Below are 22,947 nucleotides of genomic sequence, written 5' to 3' on the forward strand. Positions count from 1 at the left end.
TGTTACTTAGCTTCATGTAGTGAATAAGTCTGGCCAATGGAGAAAAGATTTCTCTTGGAGCAACAGGCCAGGCAAAGTTTCCCTAGGAGACTCCCTGGTGTTGCTTCAGGATGCTTCCTCTGCCACCTCCCCAAGGTCTATCTTATGTTTTAGCCTTGGGACCAGGCTTTCCACCACATTAACCACACCTTTCTCCCCAGTGCTCTTCACAGCACATCAGCATTTCAGGCATCAGGCTAAACAGCAATTTACCCCTCTATTTCAGACAAGGGATTGAGGCCAGTGATTCAGAGTTCAAAACTGAGAGATTTGATATGGATAGAAAGTCCGGGCTTGATCAGCTTGAGATACATTTTCTGAGAAATTTTCTAGGTTCTTGAGTATCGCATTTCACTTTTATCTCCCCTTTACCCTCACTGCAAGATTGAGGGGACTACGGATAGAACACAGATCTGGATATTCAAGCTGCTAACTAGCTGTGATTGGGCCAAGTTACTTGCCAGCCTCTGAGATTCTATTGTTTCTTTGTTAAAACTGGGAGTCTGGTGGAGGTGATCTCTAAGGTCCCTTGGAGCCCAGATATTTTGTAATTTATTACTTTAAGTTCATATGCAGTAATTATCCAGGCACTAAGGCTCAGAATGCATTCCCCAAGAAGCTCCAGTGTAAAATTTTCCTTTATCCTCCACACATTGGTCTCTTCTTTCACTGTGCTCTTCCGTGTACAGTATCTAAATTCCACATTTGTGCCAGACCTGTCTGGGTTTCTGCCCATTTATTTCTACCCATTTTCTTCTCGATAGTCATACATCTCTTGGTCCAGAGGGAATGTGGAACATAGGGTCAGGGCTTGAGTATTTTGTGGACCCCTAAAATATGGCATTTATGAAGATGGCTTTACACATGAAACATTTTTTATTATGCCAGAGATGGAGTACATGTGTTATAAAGATGATTGGAATAGAAATAATTCACTCTAGATTCACCCTTCTCACCCCCTTTATCACCTCCTGTCTCTTACCAAATTGCTCAAGGCCAGTTCATAGAGAAAAATTTGCTCTCCCATGAATTGCTGTTCCAAATTGGCAGACAAAAAATCTTTATGAATTCACAATAGTTAGGGGCTGATTTCTGAAAAGCAAGTCAGTAGCTCCCCACTGGTGGCCAATGGAAGACATACTCCTGTGACCACCTTCAGAGTGGAGACTCAGACAAATGGTGCACTTTGTCAGTATGTTGAGGAGTTGAGTACTTGAAGAAAGACTCTGATCTTTCCCTCTTCTCATTAAATGGGAAATGGTGACAACCTGGAGATGGAAGTTTTATGCTGAGGATGGCAGAGGCACCTGCCAGCCTAGGACTCTAGATAATCTTAGAGAGTCGGGCTGTCTTCCTGCCATAGCTGATCTGCCCAGCTCTGGACAGCTACTTATCAAGTCCAAGTCTCTTTCTGGAACTTCATCAATCGCTACAACATTCCCACCACAAACCGTTTACTCTATCAATGTGCTCACCACAACAATTCACTTATATATTTCACTTATGACAATGACACTCTTCCCCTTCTTGAAAATTAAATGACATAAGTCCACTTTCAGTCTTTCCTGTTATTTCCAATTTTCAAATATCATTGACAATGGTCAGCAATCTCTCTGCAAGGTAGTAGCATCAGGCTGCGATGAAATGGAAACTGCTCACAGATAATTTTTTGAAAAGAAAAGAATGACTTCCTATGGATTCTGAGAAAAGTTCAGATTTTAATTTTTTAACCAGTTTCCAAGAAGATAATACTGCACTGCTGCCAACCAAATTGAATCATAGTAAATATGGTTGAATAAATAGAAAAAAATTATTTTAAATTAAAATATAAGAGCCACTGATTTGCATTTAGTAGAATATATCAGGGCTGAAAGTTTGATTTCTCCACTTATGTTAATGGCTACTTTAGAAATGAGATCCTAAAATGTTGCAGGTTGAGGTCCCCAGAAAACAGACACTGAGACAGAGATTTGAACAAAGCAAGTTTATTAGCTCTCAGCATGTACACTTGTGAAGAAGTGAAGAAAGCAATATTGGGCAAAAACAAATAAGTTGAAATGTGAGGTAGTCAAGCTCCTTCTGGAGCTGGGAGAGCCCTTCCTACTTATCTTAAGGTGAAGCAATACCCTAAATAGTCAAACCACTGGAGGTAGTATATCCCTGGGAAGGGAGCATGATCTTGGAAGAAGCAACTATTTAACAAGAACAATTCTTGAAGAGGAACTCAACTGAGAGCCATTAGCCCAAGGCACTCCCAGCAGCTGGAGGAATGCTTGTGTGGGTCCTGAAGGAATGCAATCCAGGTGATGTGCTGCAGCATTCACCAAATACAACTTCAGATAGAAGACAGTGTGACATTGGCCAGCAGAACTTTACCTGATGGCTTCTAATTAGATTAAGCAGAACTACTAAGCAAAATCTAATTGTCTCTTGACCAACCTCACAGAAACAAACTATATCATTTCTAGAAATCTGGACACTAAAACAAAGATCTCTTTTATCTCCAGTCAGACTTCACATGACAATTTTTGTCAAAGAAAGACAGGTTAACTTGACTTAAATAATTTATTTCCAATGAATTGTCCCATTTTCAACATCCAGCAGACTTTACCACACTATCAGAAGTGATTTCTTGCCTCTACAGGTTCACCCCATTGGATTGGATGGATTCTGGATACTGTAGGACTGTATTTGAAACTCAGGGTATGCTTATTCCTCAGTATAGAAGGCCAGAGTGCAGTGGAAAGATGAGAGAGAGAACATCCTTCCTTGCACCAGAACACATATTTTCACCTTCTGTGATGCTCGGGCATAAAATGCTGTTTATAAATCAGGTTTAAAGTTGGAAGTATAGAAGAAGAAACTTCTGAAAATTCACCCCTGCAGGCTTAGGAGCTCACTGGAAAATTTTTAAGTCATGCATCAGATTTCTGTTCATTAATAATTCTTTTCAGAAGTTGTAGTTAAAGTGCTTATGTTTATAACACTATTTCAGAGAGTTTTATGTCAACCTGGCAAAAGGAACTATTCTTTTACTGATCCTTTCAACCTCCATCCTTTTTACTCTTGTGTTGAATGTATGAAAAGTGTTAGCCTTTTCAGCATGTTCGTCTTTTCAATCTGAGTTTTCTGATCCAGGCATCTCAGGAATATGGACAGTTCACGTCTGTGTTCTCTGTAGCTGATGCTGCTTTGCTCTTTCCCACATCTGCACTCTTTACTCCTAGGTCAGTTAGAGCAGTTCCATCAACTTGGAAGGTCTGCCTCTAGCTTTTTTTTTTTTTTTTTTTTACAAGAAAGCCTGCAACATCCACAGAAATGCATATGTGTGTGTGTATCTTCTAACTTATTTGCTTAAAATGTGGCACAAATTATTCTGACACCCTTAACAGTCAACTAGAAAATCTTTCTGGGATGGTTTCCAAACATTTTGCTCATTAGCTTTTTAGAACCCTGCTGGACTTTATGTTTCTTTTTTTTTTTTTTTTTTTTTTGAGACCCAGTCTAGCTCTGCCACCCAGGCTGGAGTGCAGTGGCGCAATCTCGGCTCACTGCAACCTCCGCCTCCCAGGTTCACGAGATTCTCCTGCCTCAGCCTCCTGAGTAGCTACAATTAAAGGCATGTGCCACCATGCCCAGCTAATTTTTGCATTTTTAGTAGAGATGGAGTTTCACCACGTTGGTCAAGCTTATCTCGAACTCTTGACCTCATGATCTGCCCACTTCAGCCTCCCAAAGTGCTGGGATTACAGACGTGAGCCACTGCACCTGGCCAGACTTTATGTTTTAATGGAGTTGTATAACTGAAAATATTCTCAAGGTATGTGTAACTGTGTGCATGTGTATGTGAGTGCATAATCCAGGCATGCATTTTTTTCCTACATTCATAAGTGTATGCTAAGCTATTTTCTAACTGTTCTGGAGCAGGGCGTAGAAGATCACAACAACCTCAAACAGAAACCTCCAGTTTTAGCACTCAGTTCAATTTAGTCTAGTCTTCTTGATCCCATACATAAGGGCATTATTGAAAGAGCATTAAAAATTAGTACATATTTATAAACGCAAAGGAAAAGCCTTCACAACCTCTCTTCATTAAGGAGACAGAGTTTTTTGCCCCACGGCTCTGTGCAGAGCATCTTTGACCTCCTTGTTCTTCAGGCTGTACACAACAGGGTTCAGTAGGGGAGTGATGAGTGTAGGTCACTGAGATGAGTCTGTCCTGTCCCAGGGAACTCTGGGACTTAGGCTTCAGGTAGATGATGGAGGCACAGCCATAGTGGATGATGACCACTGTGAGGTGGGAGGCGCAGGTGGCAAAGGCCTTCTTCTGACCTTCAGCTGAGGCAATCTTAAGAATGGTGGAGATGATGAGGACATAGGAGATAAAGACCAGGCCCATAGGTAGAACAAGGACACAGACGCTGACAACAAAGTTGATTATCTCATTGACAGTGGTGTCTGTGCAGGCCAGCTTCAGCAGGTGTCTCACATCACAGAAGAAGTGGGAGATGACAAAGGCATCACAGAATGGCAGGCCAAACACAGATGTTACTTGGACAATGGCCATGCCAAGGCCAATCCCCAGTGATCCAGAGGCCAGTTGGATACAGGCCCTCTTACCCATGATGACTGAATACCTTAGGGGGTTGCAGATGGCCACATAGCGGTCATATCCCATGACTGTGAGCAGGAAGCAGTTGTTGATGCCAAAGGTGAGATAGAAGAAGAGCTGAGTGGCACAGCTTTGGGTGGCAATGGGCTGATGAGGATTCAAGAGACCAGAAAGCATATGGGGAATGATGGCCACAGTGTAGCAGGTCTCAGAGATGGATAGCATGCACAGGAAGAAGTACATGGGGGTGTGAAGATGATGGTCCAGGCGAATAATGGTCATGATAATCACATTGCCAGAGAGAGTCAGCAGGTACAAAGTTAGGAAGACAACAAAGAAGACAAGTTTGTGCTGCCGCCTGAAGCTGGAGAAACCTTCAAAGAGGAACTCAGTCACAAAAGTGGAATTTAGCTTTGGCATCAAGGTAGGTCTAGGTTTGAAAGAGCTGGGCAGAGGAAAGAAACATATGATGAGTTAATCATGAAACAGAGTAGGCTGGACCAAGGCTTTCAGTAAAAAGCATGTCCATCCTCTGAGCAATGCCCTAGACCTGTTGTCTACTTGCTCAGAATAATCACCTGTCCCCACCCTCTTCTTTGGAAGCATAGAAGGCTACCCTGGGACCCTGGGATTGAGAGCAGAGATAGTGATCAGAAGGTGGTAACAAACTGAAAGAGATCTGTAGAAACAACTCCCTGGTTCCTTTTTTTAAAAATTATTATTATATACCTAGAGGTATATGATCCAGAGGTGTGCTTGCTGGATCATATGGAGGTCAGAGGAATATCCATACTGTTTTCCACAGTGGCTACATCATTTTACATTCCCACCCACAGTGCACAAGGGTTCCAATTTCTCAACATCCTCTCCAACACTTGTTATCTTTTGATTATAGATTAAAAATAAATAAATACTAGCCACCCTAACTGTTATGAGGTGATATCACATTGTGGTTATGATTTGCATTTCCCTGATGATTAGTGACACTGACCATATTTTCATATATCTGAATTAAAATCAAAATCTAGAAGAGATGTTTGCATTCCCATGTTCATTACAGCACCATTCACAATAGCCAAATTGTGGAAACAACCCAGGTGTCCACTGGTAGATGAATGAATAAAGAAAATGTGGTATTTACATAGAATGTAATGTTATTAAGCCTTAAAAAAAAAAAAGGAAATCCTGCCCTTTGCAACAACAGGGATGAGCCTGGAGAACATTATTCTAAATGGTATAAGCCAGTCACAGGAGGACAAATACTGCATGATTCCACTTATATGAGGTATTTAAAATAGTCAAAGTCATAGAAGCAGGAAATAGAATGGTGATTACTGGGGAACAAGAAAGGGGAAGTGGGGAGTTGTTGTTCAATTCATGTAAAGTTTCAATTATGCAAGATAATTAGTTCTAGAGAGCTGCTGTACAGCATAATTCTTGTAGTAAACAATATTGTAATATGCACTTAAAATTTTTTAAGATGGTATATCTCATATTAAGTGCCTTACCACAAAACAAAACAAAAAGCAAAGGGACACAAAGAAATGTTTAAAGGTGATAGATATGTTTGTTACCTTAATTATGATGATGGTTTCACAGATGTATGTATATGGCCAAACTCATTAAATTGTACACATTAAATATATGTAGTGTATTATATATCCATTGTACTTCAATAAAGCTGTTTAAAGAAAGAAAGAAACAACTACCTGGCCATTGAAGGAGTGGGCCTAGGTCAAGGAAGAAGCAGGTGATTCATCAAATGTGCCCAGCTCTACAGTTCCTTCTCAATACACTCCTGAATTACTTCTCAAGGATCCAGTGAGGAATAGTGAAGAATAGAAGATGTGAGACTGATTGATATCCTTTTCACACTGTCATCAGTTTCCAATGCCAAATGCCCTGTGAGAGTCCTGAGAATGCTTCTCCTCCCCAGAACCCTAGGTCCTGGTCTTCACTTATCTAAGCCCTGCATCTACAATACTCAGTGACCATCAAAGAGTAGAAAAGGGAACACTTCTACTGATGACTTTTTCTAGAAACCTTGTAATAAATATCACCTAGGATCATAAAAAATGGTTTGATATGGCATTGCAATATTTAGATTGTCTCCTTGAATTTTAATCAAAGGTAGAAAAGACAGCAAAATGAATCTGAGGGTGACTCTTTAAGTAAGGAATAGGTTTTTCTAGTATGAGAGCAAAGATAATATTCACTTAATCAGAGAACGATGAATCGTCCTGTTTTTTTTTTACTTCACTTATGCATATTCCAAGTTATGTTGGGGATACAAATAAGCTGATCCACCTTCCTTTTATCTTACCTCAAGTAGACCCAGCATGAGAGGTTGTACTTGCGCAGATTAACCTCGCTCCTTATACCCACATCTACTCCTGATAATACTCACCATGTTTAACCATCATCTCCATTCAGAAAGCTGAGGACTGTCCTAATCACCACCCTTCCCTTTTCCACACAAAGACATTGCCTCCTGAAATTCTCTCTTCCTGTCCCCTCCACTTCATGCTTTCTACCAACGCCCAACTACTGACTGCCATTACCATCCTCTGTGATCACCACAAGGCCTCCTAACTAATCTGTCTCCTTTTGGTTGATCTTAGTCTAAGTCTTCCTCCTGGATGTTGCCATTACACTTTTTTCAAAAACCTGTTCATGGAGCTGTCCTGCGTAAATTCCTCAATAGCTCCTCGGAATCTTAACCATAATATTTAACTCATTTGTAAGTTGAATATGTTAGTATTTCATAGAGTTGCCATGAAAATTAAATGGCTTACTTGTTTGAAGAGTTTGAAGTAGCATTTGACAAATAGGAAACCCTCAGTAGATACTAGTGTTATTAGAAGTTACAGTTATTTCTTTTTCATTTTCCCCAAATTAGCAAGTTTAAATTTCTAAGAAGATCAGGGGCAGGGGTGGAGGGGCTTCAATCTAATATTTCTGGATTTGTAAACAAGTATGTGATTATCTTAACCTTAACTTTGTAAGTATTATAATTTCCCTTCCAGTTGCTCAAACGGAATTTTTTATGCTCTTTCAAAATCTTTCTTGAAGTGCATTGACCAAATCCATGCACTGCTGCATGTATTATACTAACACAGGTGTGGATTAAGTTGAATATAATTTTCAGTTCTGCCTCTAATCCTCTAATCCCTTTCCTGAAGATGCTCAATATTTTACTTCTCCCTCCGGTCATAGTAGCTCATCCAACTAATATATCTAGAAACAATCTGCAGTGACATCTAGATCCCTTGCCTCGGTTATAATTGAATTGATAGCGTGGAGCCCATCATTGTAAAATCACAGTTTCCTTTACACTTGAATACATTAAAATTAATTCACATTATTTTCATAATGTAATTGTATTTTATTAACCAGAAGATCTTATTCAGGTCTGTGGCCTCGAATATTTGCCTCCCTCTCTTCCAGATAATTATTTAAACTGCTAACACTCCCCCAAAAATGCTATCCCAGCTCCATCTAAGAGAATAATCACTAAAGGGATGCAGAGTGGAATGCGGAAATTTAAAATGTAGGCAAGGATAGGATTACTCATCTAAAGTCTAGGAAATGTAGGTGAGGAGGAAAAACGAGAGATAAAAAAGTAGAGAGGGTACAGATAGACAGAAACCTCAAAATTCAGGTAATGTCTTTGACTTTGGAGTTTGTATTGCCTTTCCTTGCTTTCAAATAAATTACAAAAATGAGAAACAGGCCTTTTCCTGGCCCAATCCTAGATGAGTGTACTGTTTACAATTTTTCCCTGGAGAAGAAAACTTACTTATCCTCTTGTTTCCTGAATTTTTAAAAATCTCCTGTGCATTTTCATTCTATGCATGTACCCAAACATCACATGTACCCTGTAAATATGTACAACTATTATGTATAATTTTTTAAAACGAAATAAGCCAGGCACAGAAATAAAAGTATCATATGTTCTCACTTATATATGAGAGTTTAAAAAGTTGATCTCATGGAGGTAGAGAGGAGAATGGTGGTTACTAGAGGCTGGAAATGGTGAGGTTGTGGATGAAGAGAGGTTGGTTAAAAGGTACAAACATAGTTACAAGGAATCCATTCTGGTGCTTGATAGTATGGGAGGTAACTAGAATTTATTTTATATTTCAAAATTTCTAAAAAAGAAGATTTGAAGTGCTCCCAACACAAAGTAATAATAAATGTTTGAGGTGATGGATATTCTAATTACTTCGATTTTATCATTACACATTGTATTAATATATCAAAAAATCACATGCACCACACAAATATGCAGAATTATATATTAATAAAGCAAACTTTGAAGTCTAAAACAAAAAGTCTCCTGTACATTTCAATTTGCTTAAACTAAAATCGTGCTTGATTTTACCGAGCAAAACAACTTCTTCAAGAGTTCAATGTGTTGGGAAGTCACAAAGTATAAGTACTATGCTAGTGCTAGGAAAATAAAGATGACCCAATTGGTCTTTTTTTCTCATGGAGCTTAGATTCTTGGACAGCCTTTGGTATAGGATCCAATTACAGCCTTCCAAGTACTTTATGGCCCTCTTCTCTAGTCTATTCGTCTACGTTTCCAACATCTTAGAAATCACATTCTTTCTTATTAGAGCCCGTGTTCCCCCTTCTTCCATAGACTATCACTGGCTATGCAATAACAGTATACACTATCATAAACACTCCCCATCCCAGCCGTTAAGCTTCCTTAAAGGTGAGGTTAACGTTAAGCTTCCTTCAGAGTTTCACTTCTGAAACTCACCACATAGCCTGTTTCTTGAGTCTTCTAGAGAGTTGTGCTTATACCTGAATTATATCCTCCACTCTGGAAATTTGACTGCCTGCAATCATAGACTATGGATTTTTTTTTATTACTGATAGTTATACAATGTTTCCCAGATTTTTGTCAATGCCTTTTTTAAGATTATTTAAAACACATCGGTTATTTAACTAACAATCACTTTATGGAACTATGCTATTTTACTGAAGAGTCTATGAATTTCCTTAAGAGAGGGTCACTAATGTCATACTGAGCAGAGCTATAGTTTCTCCCCCTTTGCTGGCTAATCTTTAAATAACGCCAAGAATGTGATAACTAAAGGAACTATTTAGAGAGGAAGGAAATAATGCCTATCTCAGTCTTCCTGTGTCCGACACCAGAAGTGAAGTCACACTAAGTTCCCCTAGATTCTCACAAGCCCATCCACTGGAAGGATTTCATCTTTGGGTCACAAAGCATTAACTTTGGCTTAGGTGTTTTTTAATAAGATAAAAATTGTCTGTCCCCAGTGTTAGATGTCTCCATCTCCAAAACAACACTTACTACTCCCAAGTGATAATGGCAGAAGACACAATCCAAACAGCAGAGCATCTGGAGACCTCATTACTAAGGCAGCACATTTTCTAATCCTGAAAATAACACTTTGGAGAACAGAGTTGGCTTGGCTATTAGGGACAATCTCTGGGATGAAAAGGCTTATTTCCCTTATTAGCATGGGTAATAGTCCTGCTGAAATCCATGTCAGATTTTCTGTCCATTTCTTTGGAGGCCTTATGGAGTAACCCTTCACACATGAGAGAATAGAAGCGACAATTATCAAGCAGGGTTTATGCATGGAGCCCTCATACAGAGGGCTGACCTTCAGATACTCTGACACTTGAAGCAGTTTAAAGTCTCTTGAAAGAATCATCAGCACTGTTCCTGAATTCTATTGTCTGAGCTTTCATACTTTTTTTTTTTAAGGTTTTAAGGAACTGCCAGACTGTTTCCTAAAGTGGCTGAGGATTTAGCCTTCCCACCAGCAATGTTATGAGTGTTCTAATTTCTCGACATACTTGCTAACACTTATTTTCTGGTGTTTTTTTTTTTTTAATTATAGCCATCCCAGTAGGTGTGAAGTGGTATCTCACTGTGGTTTTGATTTATTTCCCTAATGACTAATGATGTTGAGCATCCTTTTATGTTCTTATTGCCCATTTGTATATCTGCTTTGGAGAAATATCTGTTCAGATTCTTTGCCCATTTTTAAATGCAGTTATCTTTTTATTCTTTTATGAGTTGTTTAAATATATTTTGGATACTAGATCCTGATCAGAGATAAGATTTACAAATATTTCATTCCCATTCTCTGAGTTGTCTTCTCACTTTTAAACTGATCTTTCTCATCTCTGCACTTCTTGCCACACACCCTATATTTATTTTGGAGCCCTCAGCTCAGTTTGTCCGAAGGCCTCAGCCTTGCCAGGGAACCTTCTGCATATTAAATCCATCTCATTATCCATAGCCCAAATAGATGGGAATAAGTGTCTATAGTTGAAAGATATGTAAAAGTTGGCACTCAATTGTCACAGATTTTTAACCAATTATTTCTTTGCATTGGTCTTAGATTGCTAATTGTCAGCTCCTTAGAAATAGAGACTCTTTGTCATCCATCTTTTTTTTCTCAGCAAACCTAGAGCTGCTACTTCTAAAAAAATTCCTATTACATGCTCTTTATTATATGCTAGGTACTAAACTATGCAATGCACACACATTAACTCATTTAATCCTAACAATGAACCTACAAGATAGCACAATTGTACTGTTTTTTTTTTTTTTAGGAGAAAACAGACACAGAGTTGTTATATAATTTCCCGTAGGACACTGAGCTGATAAATGGGAAACTAGGACTTAAACAAAGGAAATCCAGCCTCATAAGCTGGCCTATATTGGTAATATTGAATTTAATTTGAATTTGTGTTCAGTGGTGGTACTGCTAATGGTAGCAACCTAAAAAGACATCTTGGTAATGGTGAATAAAGCATTAGATTAATGATTTGGTTTACCCAGGTTTTAGTTCCATAGTTGTGACTAACTTGTCAAGTATTTAGACTGACATGTATCTGGGCCTTGGTGTGTTCATCTATAAGTGATGACATAATAATGTAGTAGTGGTGATGCTGCTGCTGATGATTTTGCCTCCTATTCTGCATCCGTCACCTTGTTTTATGTTACCTCACAATAACATGATAAAGTGGACATATACATCCACACTATTATCTCTATTTTAAAAATGAAGAAACTGAAAACAAGCGACAGAACTGGAATAAGTGACTCCTTACCAGGATTCTTTTCACCCTGCCACTATTCATACACAAAATTGAAGGATAGAATTAGTTCTCCTACACCTCTAGAATGATGCTATAGTGACCATACTATATGGATATAGCTACTAAGTCAGTGAATAATTGAGGAGCCAAGATTCTAGAAAGAAAGAATATGCAGAAATGTTAGCTCGAATCTCACTTCTTTGCAGTTTCCTTGAGGAATTGTAATTTGTTGTTTGTAGTCTTTGGTCAAAAAAACTAATAAACTGAGAAGAGTATCTGGAAATTTCCATATGCTTAAGGGTTATATTCTCTGTGAAAGGGTAAAGTGGAAATAAATGAACCCTTCACAGAGACTAAAACTTCAAATTAATTTAATTTCTAGTTAGATTAATATGATCTTGCCCCTAGTCTAATTACCTGTCGAGAAGCAAAATAAAATATTCTCTAGAGGAAGATAATATAATCTAGAGTACCAATTTGTCTTTATATTTTTTTTCATATAGTACTGGAGTAGGAAAACTACAGCCCATCAGCCCACTACATGTTTTTGCATAGCCTGCAAGGGGTATACTAGTTTTTACAATTTTAAATAATTGAAAACAAATTTAAAAAATACTTTGTGACATGTGAAAGCTATGTAAAATTCAAATATAGTAAGCACACACAAAAACCCCAAAATTTTTTGAACCACAACCCCACTCATTCACTTATGTATAATCTATGGCTTCTTTTGTGCTACTATAGCAGAATTTAATAGTTGGAACAGGGACTTATGTATGATCCACAAACCCTAAATTATTAATTACTTGGCCCTTTTCAGGAAAGTGTGAGGATTTCTGATAGAGAGTGTCCAAGATGTAATAAAAATGCACCAGACATACCAGGATAAAAAACCAAAGATCTAAGACTCAACAAATTAAAAAAAAAAACTCAATACAAACAAACCCATAAAATAATCATATTAAAGTTACAAAATACAAATTTAAGATAAATATGACTGTGGCAGACACATTCTAAGGTGACCCATAATGAGTCACACCCATGTATTCCCTTCATTTGAGTGTGGACAGAACTGTGACTTGCCTCTGTTCAATAGAATATGCCAAAGACAATGATATGTCTCACTCCCATGCTTATATAACATTATATAAGAATTTATCATAACAGAATGGAGCAAGAATACTAACTTGCTGACTTTAAAGAATTAAGTGGCCATGTTTTAAGATAACTTGTAACAGGGTGGTGTAGCAAGGAATATATGCAACTTCTAAGAACTAACAGTTTCAGCTGAAAGCCAATTCTGCCAACAACTACATGAGTTTGGAAGTGGATGCCAAACTCCATGAAGGAATACAGCTCTGCTGATGCTGATTGCAGGTGTGTGAGATCCTGAGCAGAGAACCCAGCTAAGCCATGCCTAGAACACCTGTCCAATGGAAATTTTGTGGCATTTTAAGCTACTAAACATGCTAATTTGTTATGCAGCAATAAAAACTACTATAATGATTATTATGCTGAAAAAATAATGTAAGACAAATTTTCAAATCACAGCAGAGAATGAGAAATATTATTTAAAAATAAAGTGAAAACACTAGAAGTATAAAATATAATAAGAGAAACTAAGAACTTAATAGATGTTATAACACCACATTAGAAATAACTGGAGATAAAATCAGTGAATTGGAAGATGTGTCAGTAAAAAATACCTAGATTGAAGCACAGGGAAAAAAAAGTAGTGCAATATGTATAAAAGAGCGTAAGAAGCATATAGAACCCCAGGAAAAGGTCTAGCATATGTGTAATTAGACTACCAGATTAATAGGAGAGATAGAATGTATCAGAAGCAATATACGAAGAAACAGTGGCCATGAATTTTTCAAACTTGAGGAAATCATTAAGACACAAATTCAAGAATCATCCTGAGTTGCCTACCAACAGGATAAATACATATTCAATGATACATAAAATTCATGTAGGCATATCAAATAAAACAACAGAAAAAAGAAAGATAGAAAGAAAAAGCCTTAAAAGGAGTTAGAGTAAAAGGACACGTTATTTTCAAGGACTAACTGTAAGGCTAATAATTGACCCATTAACAGCAGGAAAACAGAAATTAATGGAATGACATTTTTAACATACTGAAAGAAAACAACTACCAAGCTAGAATTCTATAATCAGGGAAAATATCCTTTCAAAAGGGAGACAAAAACAATAAGAGTTTTAGATATGCAAAAAAAAAAAAAAAAAAAAAGAGAGAGAGAGAGAATTTGTCACCAGCAAACCTGAATTAAAAGAAACATGAAGTTCACGAAAATCCACTGTTCTGCAGCCACTGCTGCTGATACCCAGGCAAACAGGGTCTGGAGTGGACCTCTAGCAAACTCCAACAGACCTGCAGCTGAGGGTTCTATCTGTTAGAAGGAAAACTAACAAACAGAAAGGACATCCACACCAAAAACCATCTGTATGGCACCATCATCAAAGATCAAAAGTAGATAAAACCACAAAGATGGGGAAAAAACAGAGCGGAAAAACTGGAAACTCTAAAAAGCAGAGCGCCTCTCCTCCTCCAAAGGAAAGCAGTTCCTCACCAGCAACGGAACAAAGCTGGACGGAGAATGACTTTGACGAGTTGAGAGAAGAAGGCTTCAGACAATCAAACTGCTCCGAGCTACAGGAGGAAATTCAAACCAATGGCAAAGAAGTTAAAAACTTTGAAAAAAAATTTAGACAAATATATAGCTAGAATAACCAATGTAGAGAAGTGCTTAAAGGAGCTGATGGAGCTGAAAGCCAAGGCTTGAGAACTATGTGAAGAATGCAGAAACCTCAGGAGCTGATGCGATCAACTGGAAGAAAGGATATCAGTGATAGAAGATGAAATGAATGAAATGAAGCGAGAAGGGAAGTTTAGAGAAAAAAGAATAAAAAGAAATGAACAGAGCCTCCAAGAAATATGGGACTATGTGAAAAGACCGAATCTACATCTGATTGGTGTACCTGAAAGTGACAGGGAGAATGGAACCAAGTTGGAAAACACTCTGCAGGATATTATCCAGGAGACCTTCCCCAATTTAGCAAGGCAGGCCAACATTCAGATTCAGGAAATACAGAGAACACCACAAAGATACTCCTCGAGAAGAGCAACTCCAAGACACATAAGTGTCAGATTCACCAAAGTTGAAATGAAGGAAAAAATGTTAAGGGCAGCCAGAGAGAAAGGTCGGGTTACCCACAAAGGGAAGCCCATCAGACTAATAGCAGATCTCTCAGCAGAAACTCTACAAGCCAGAAGAGAGTGGGGGCCAATATTCAACATTCTTAAAGAAAAGAATTTTCAACCCAGAATTTCATATCCAGCCAAACTCAGCTTCACAAGTGAAGGAGAAATAAAATCCTTTATAGACAAGCAAATGCTGAGAGATTTTGTCACCACCAGGCCTGGCCTAGAAGAGCTCCTGAAGGAAGCACTAAACATGGAAAGGAACAGCCAGTACCAGCCACTGCAAAAACATGCCAAATTGTAAAGACCATTGAGGCTAGGAAGAAACTGCATCAACTAACGAACAAAATAACCAGCTAACATCATAATGACAGGATCAAATTCACACATAACAATATTAACTTTAAATGTAAATGGGCTAAATGCTCCAATTAAAAGACACAGACTGGCAAATTGGATAAAGTGTCAAGACCCATCAGTGTGCTGTATTCAGGAAATCCATCTAACGTGCAGAGACACACATAGGCTCAAAATAAAGGGATGCAGGAAGATCTACTAAGCAAGTAGAAAACAAAAAAAGACAGGGGTTGCAATCCTAGTCTCTGATAAAACAGATTTTAAACCAACAAAGATCAAAAGAGACAAAGAAGGCCATTACATAATGGTAAAGGGATCAATTCAACAAGAAGAGCTAACTATCCCAAATATATATGCACCCAATACAGGAGCACCCAGATTCATAAAGCAAGTCCTGAGTGACCTACAAAGACACTTAGACTCCCACACAATAATAATGGGAGACTTTAACACCCCACTGTCAACATTAGACAGATCAACGAGACAGAAAGTTAACAAGGATACCCAGGAGTTGAACTCAGCTCTGCACCGAGTGGACCTAATAGACACCTACAGAACTCTCCACCCCAAATCAACAGAATATACATTTGTTTCAGCACCACACCACACCTATTCTAAAATTGACCACATAGTTGGAAGTAAAGCTCTCCTCAGCAAATGTAAAAGAAAGGAAATTATAACAAACTATCTCTCGGACCACAGTGCAATCAAACTACAACTCAGGATTAAGAATCTCACTCAAAACTGCTCAACTACATGGAAACTGAACAACCTGCTCCTGAATGACTACTGGGTACATAACGAAATGAAGGCAGAAATAAAGATGTTCTTTGAAACCAATGAGAACGAAGACACAACGTACCAGAATCTCTGGGACACTTTTAAAGCAGTGTGTAGAGGGAAATTTATAGCACTAAATGCCCACAAGAGAAAGCAGGAAAGATCCAAAATTGACACCCTAACATCACAATTAAAAGAACTAGAAAAGCAAGAGCAAACACTTCAAAAGCTAGCAGAAGGCAAGAAATAACTAAAATCAGAGCAGAACTGAAGGAAATAGAGACACAAAAAACCCTTCAAAAATTAATGAGTCCAGGAGCTGGTTTTTTGAAATGATCAACAAAATCGATAGACCTCTAGCAAGACTAATGAAGAAGAAAAGAGAGAAGAATCAAATAGATGCAATAAAAAAATGATAAAGGGGATATCACCACCGATCCCACAGAAATACAAACTACCATCAGAGAATACTACAAACACCTCTATGCAAATAAACTAGAAAATCTAGAAGAAATGGATAAATTCCTCAACACATACACCCTCCCAAGACTAAACCAGGAAGAAGTTGAATCTCTGAATAGACCAATAACAGGCTCTGAAATTGTGGCAATTATCAATAGCTTACCAACCAAAAAGAGTCCAGGACCAGATGGATTCACAGCCGAATTCTACCAGAGGTACAAGGGGAACTGGTACCATTTCTTCTGAAACTATTCCAATCAATAGAAAAAGAGGGAATCCTCTCTAACTCATTTTATGAGGCCAGCATCATCCTGATACCAAAGCCTGGCAGAGACACAACCAAAAAAGAGAATTTTAGACCAATATCCTTGATGAACATTGATGCAAAAATCCTCAATAAAATACTGGCAAACCGAATCCAGCAGCACATCAAAAAGCTTATCCACCATGATCAAGTGGGCTTCATCCCTGGGATGCAAGGCTGGTTCAATATATGCAAATCAATAAATGTAATCCAGCATATAAACAGAACCAAAGACAAAAACCACATGATTATCTCAATAGATGCAGAAAAGGCCTTTGACAAAATTCAACAACCCTTCATGCTAAAAACTCTCAATAAATTAGGTATTGATGGGATGTATCTCAAAATAATAAGAGCTATCTATGACAAACACACAGCCAATATCATACTGAATGGACAAAAACTGGAAGCATTCCCTTTGAAAACGGGCACAAGACAGAGATTCCCTCTTGCACCACTCCTATTCAACATAGTGTTGGAAGTTCTGGCCAGGGCAATTAGGCAGAAGAAGGAAATAAAGGGTATTCGATTAGGAAAAGAGGAAGTCAAATTGTCCCTGTTTGCAGATTACATGATTGTATATCTAGAAAACCCCATTGTCTCAGCCCAAAATCTCCTTAAGCTGATAAGCAACTTCAGCAAAGTCTCAGGATACAAAATCAATGTACAAAAATCACAAGCATTCTTATACAACAATAACAGACAAACAGAGAGCCAAATCATGAGTGAACTCCCATTCACAATTGCTTCAAAGAGAATAAATTACCTAGGAGTCCAACTTACAAGGGATGTGAAGGACCTCTTCAAGAAGAACTACAAACCACTGCTCAATGAGATAAAAGAGGATACAAATGGAAGAACATTCCATGCTCATAGGTTGGAAGAATCAATATCATGAAAATGGCCATACTGCCCAAGGTAATTTATAGATTCAATGCCATCCCCATCAAGCTACCAATGACTTTCTTCACAGAATTGGAAAAAACTACTTTAAAGTTCATATGGAACCAAAAAAGAGCCCGCATCGCCAAGTCAATCCTAAGCCAAAAGAACAACGCTGGAGGCATCACACTATCTGACTTCAAACTATACTACAAGGCTACAGTAACCAAAACAGCATGGTACTGGTACCAAAACAGAGATATAGATCAATGGAACAGAACAGAGCCCTCAGAAATAATACTGCATATCTACAACTATCTGATCTTTGACAAACTTGACAAAAACAAGCAATGGGGAAAGGATTCCCTGTTTAATAAATGGTGCTGGGAAAACTGGCTAGCCATATGTAGAAAGCTGAAACTGGACCCTTTCCTTACACCTTATACAAAAATTAATTCAAGATGGATTAAAGACTTAAATGTTAGACCTAAAACCATAAAAACCCCAGAAGAAAACCTAGGCAATACCATTGAGGACATAGGCATTGGCAAAGACTTCATGTCTAAAACACCAAAAGCAATGGCAACAAAAGCCAAAATTGACAAATGGGATCTAATTAAACTAAAGAGCTTCTGCACAGCAAAAGAAACTACCGTCAGAGTGAACAGGCAGCCTACAAAATGTGAGAAAATTTTGCAACCTACTCATCTGACAAAGGGCTAATATCCAGAATCTATAATGAACTCAAACAAATTTACAGGAAAAAAACAAACAACCCCATCAAAAAGTGGGCAAAAGACATGAACAGACACTTCTCAGAAGAAGACATTTATGCAGCCATAAAACACATGAAAAAATGCTCATCATCATTGGCCATCAGAGAAATGCAAATCAAAACCACAATGAGATACCATCTCACACCAGTTAGAATGGCGGTCATTAAAAAGTCAGGAAACAACAGGTGCTGTAGAGCATGTGGAGAAATAGGAACATTTTTACACTGTTGGTGGGACTGTAAACTAGTTCAACCATTGTGGAAGTCAGTGTGGTGATTCCTCAGGGATCCAGAAATAGAAATACCATTTGACCCAGCCATCCCATTACTTTGAATTGAAAAGGAGGGACTCCCCTTGAACTCATTTTATGAGGCCAGGGTCATCCTGATACCAAAACCTGGCAGAAATACTACAAAAAAATAAAACTTCAGGCCAATATCCCTGATGAACATTGAGGCAAAAATCCTTAATAAAATACTGGAAAACTGAATCAGCAGCACATCAAAAAGCTTATTCAGCATGATAACGTTGCCCTCATCTCTAGGATGCCAGGCTTGTTCAGCATATGCAAATCAATAAATGTAATTTGTTTATATGAAACAGGACTAAGGACAAAAACCACACAATTATCTCAATAGCTGCAGAAAAGGGCTTCAATAAAATTCAACATCCCTTCATGTTAAAAACTCTCAATAAACTAGGTATTGATGGAACATACCTCAAAATAATCAGACACATTTATGAAAAACCCACAGCCAATATCATACTGAAGGGGCACAAGCTGGAAGCATTCCCCTTGAAAGCCAGCACAAGATGAGGATGCCCTCTCCCATCACTCCTATTTAACATATTATTGGAAGTTCTGGCCAGGGTGAAGTGGAGGACCTCTTCAAGGAGAACTACAAACCACTGTTCAACGAAATCAGAGAGGACACAAACAAATGGCAAAACATTCCATGCTCATGGATAGGAAGAATCAATATTGTAAAAATGGCCACACTTCCCAAGGTGATTTATAGATTCAGTCCTATTCCCATTAAATTACCATTGCAATTCTTCACAAAATTAAAAAAAAATACTTTAAAATCCATATGAAACAAAAAAAGAGCCCGTATAGCCAAGACAATCCTAAGCAAGAACAAACCTGGAGGCATCACACTACCTGACTTCAAATCATACTACAAGGCTACAGTAACCAAAACAGCATGGTATTGGTACAAAAACAGACACATGGACCAATGGAACAGATAAGAGAACTCAGAAATTAGACTACACATCTACAACCATCTGATCTTCAACAAACCTGACAAAAACAAACAATGGGGAAAGGATTCCCTGTTTAATAAATCGGTCTGGGACAACTGGCTAGCCATATGCAGAAAACTGAAACTGGACTCCTTCCTTACACCTTGTACAAAAATTAACTCAATATGGCTTAAAGACTTAAATGTAAATCCCAAAATTATAAAAACCCTAGAAGAAAAGCTAAGCAATACCATTCAGGACATAGGCATGGGCAATAATTTCATGATGAAAACATCAAAAGTAATTTCAATAAAAGCAAAAATTGACAAATGGGATCTGATTAAACTAAAGAGCTTCTGCACAACAAAAGAAACTATCATCAGAGTGAACAGACAACCTACAGAATGGGGGGAAGTTTTCGCAATCTATCCACTGACAAAGTTCTAATATTCAGAATCTACAAGGAACTTAAACAAATTTACAAGAAAGAAACCAAACAACCCCATTAAAAAGTGGGCAAAGGACATGAACAGACACTTCTCAAAAGAAGACATTTATGTGGACTATAAACATATGAAAAAAAGCTCAACATCACTGATCATTAGAGAAATGCAAATCAAAACCACAATGAGATGCCATCTCACATCAGTCAGAATGGCGATTATTAAAAATTAAAACAGCCTGGGCATGGTGGCTCACGCCTGTAATCCCAGCACTTTGGGAGGCTGAGGCGGGTGGATCACCTAAGGTCAGGAGTTTGAGACCAGCCTGGCCAACATGGTGAAACCCTCTCTCTACTAAAACTACAAAAAAATTAGCCAGGCGTGGTGGTGGGTGCCTGTAATCCCAGCCACTTGGGAGGCTGAGGCAGGAGAATCGCTTGAACCCAGGAAGTGGAGGTTGCAGTGAGCCAAGACCATGCCATTGCACTCCAGCCTGGGCAACAAGAACGAAACTCCATCCCCCCAATCTACCCCCCACCAAAAAAGTCAAGAAACAACAGATGCTGGCAAGGGTGTGGAGAAATAAGAATGCTTTTATACTGCTGGTGGGAATGTAAATTAGTTCAAATATTGTGGAAGACAGTGTGGCAATTCTTCAAAGACCTAGAACCAGAAATACCGTTTGACCCAGCAATCCCATTACTGAATATATACCCCAAAGAATATAAATCATTCTATTATATAATCAGTCATGCACACATGTGTTTATTGCAGCACTATTCACAATAGCAAACACATGAAATTAACCCAAATGTCTATCAGTGATAGACTGGATAAAGAAAATGTGGTACATATACACCATGGAATACTCTGCAGCCATAAAAAGGAATGAGATCATGTCTTCTGCAGGGATATGGATGGAGCTGAAAGCCACTCTCCTTGCAAACTAACACAAGAACAGAAAACCAAACACTGCATGTTCTCACTTACTAGCTGAACAATGAGAATACATGGGCACAGGGAGGGGAAAAACACACACTGTGGCCTGTTGGGAGGTAGGGTGTCAGGTGAGGGAGAGCATCAGGAAGAATAGCTAACGCATACTAGACTTAATACCTAGGTGATGGGTTGATAGTGCAGCAAATCACCATGGCACCTGTTTACCTATGTAACAGACCTGTACATCCTACACATGTATCCTGAAATTTAAATAAAATAAAATAAAATAAAATTTAAAAATACCAAAGAATGGAAAAATATATCATGTGAGTACTAAGCAAAAGAAGACTAATGTTTTATGTTAAAATAAGGCAAAAAGATAAAAATGTATTTAGGCTTATTTTGTGGCCTGACATATGGTATTGCTTGGAGAATATTCAAAAAATACTTGAAAAGAGAATGTATTCTCTCTTTTCTTAATGGAGTCTTTCATAAGTATCAAATCTGGATGGTTTGTAGTGTTTGTTCAAGTTTTCTATATCCTTACAGATTTTTCTTGTTCTACAAATTACTGAAATAGAATCACTGAAATCTTTCATTGTTGACTTGTCTATTTCTCCTTCCAAATCTATATTTTTTTTGCTTCAGGAATTTGAGGATCTGTTCTCAGGTGTATATACACATATAATTGTGTATTTTTCCAACATATTGACTCTTTTATCACATCAAAATATATTTCTTTGTCTTTTTTTTTCAAAAAAACATAAATCTTTACTAAAATTATCAAGCATTGTCACAATGGTAATTGCCCTTGGCTAGTACTTAACCACACTTTTGTTTTTATTTCTTTTTTTATTATTATTATACTTTAAGTTCTAGGGTACATGTGCACAACGTGCAGGTTTGTTACATATGTACACATGTGCCATGTTGATGTGCTGCACATCACACATGTACTGCACACTCGTCATGTACATTAGTTATATCTCCTAATGCTGTCCCTCCCCCCTCCCCTCACTCCATGACAGGCCCTGGTGTGTGGTGTTCCCCACCCTGGGTCCAAGTGTTCTCAATGTTCAATTCCCACCTGTAAGTGAGAACATGCGGTGTTTGGTTTTCTGTCCTTGCGATAGTTTGCTGAGAATGATGGTTTCCAGCTTCATCCATGTCCCTACAAAGGACATGAACTCATCCTTTTTTATGGCTGCATAGTATTCCATGGTGTATATGTGTCACATTTTCTTAATCCAGTCTATCATTGATGGACATTTGGGTTGGTTCCAAGTCTTTGCTATTGTGAATAGCACCACAATAGACATACATGTGCATGTGTCTTTATAGCAGCATGATTTCTAATCCTTTGGGTATATACCCAGTAATGGGATGGCTGGGTCAAATGGTATTCCTAGTTCTAGATCCCTGAGGAATTGCCACACTGTCTTCCACAATGGTTGAGCTAGTTTACAGTCCCACCAGCAGTGTAAAAGTGTTCCTATTTCTCCACATCCTCTCCAGCACCTGTTGTTTCCTGACTTTTTAATGATCGCCATTCTAACTGGTGTGAGATGGTATCTCATTGTGGCTTTGATTTTTTTTTTTTTGAAATGGAGTGTGTCTCTCTGTTGCCCAGGCTGGAGTGCAGTGGCGTGATCTCCCCTCACTGCAACCTCTACCTCCTAGGTTCAAGGGGTTCTCCTGCCTCAGCCTCCTGAATAGCTGGGACTACAGGTGCCCACCACCACCCCCAGCTAATTTATATATTTTTAGCAGAGATTGGGTTTCACCAT

General features: G+C 38.3%; 1 pseudogene across 1 annotated transcript; it reads right to left on the bottom strand.

Moving 5' to 3' along the window:
- Window positions 1–3,981: 3,981 nt before the first annotated feature.
- Window positions 3,982–5,171, bottom strand: OR10J3 (olfactory receptor family 10 subfamily J member 3 (gene/pseudogene); annotated as a pseudogene). The gene has a single exon (NR_172557.1). The product of NR_172557.1 is annotated as an olfactory receptor family 10 subfamily J member 3 (gene/pseudogene) (transcript).
- Between the last annotated feature and the right edge of the window lie 17,776 nt (window positions 5,172–22,947).

The sequence above is a fragment of the Homo sapiens genome, chromosome 1 (genome assembly GCF_000001405.40).
Source record: "Homo sapiens chromosome 1, GRCh38.p14 Primary Assembly".
NCBI classification, from domain to species: domain Eukaryota; kingdom Metazoa; phylum Chordata; class Mammalia; order Primates; family Hominidae; genus Homo; species Homo sapiens.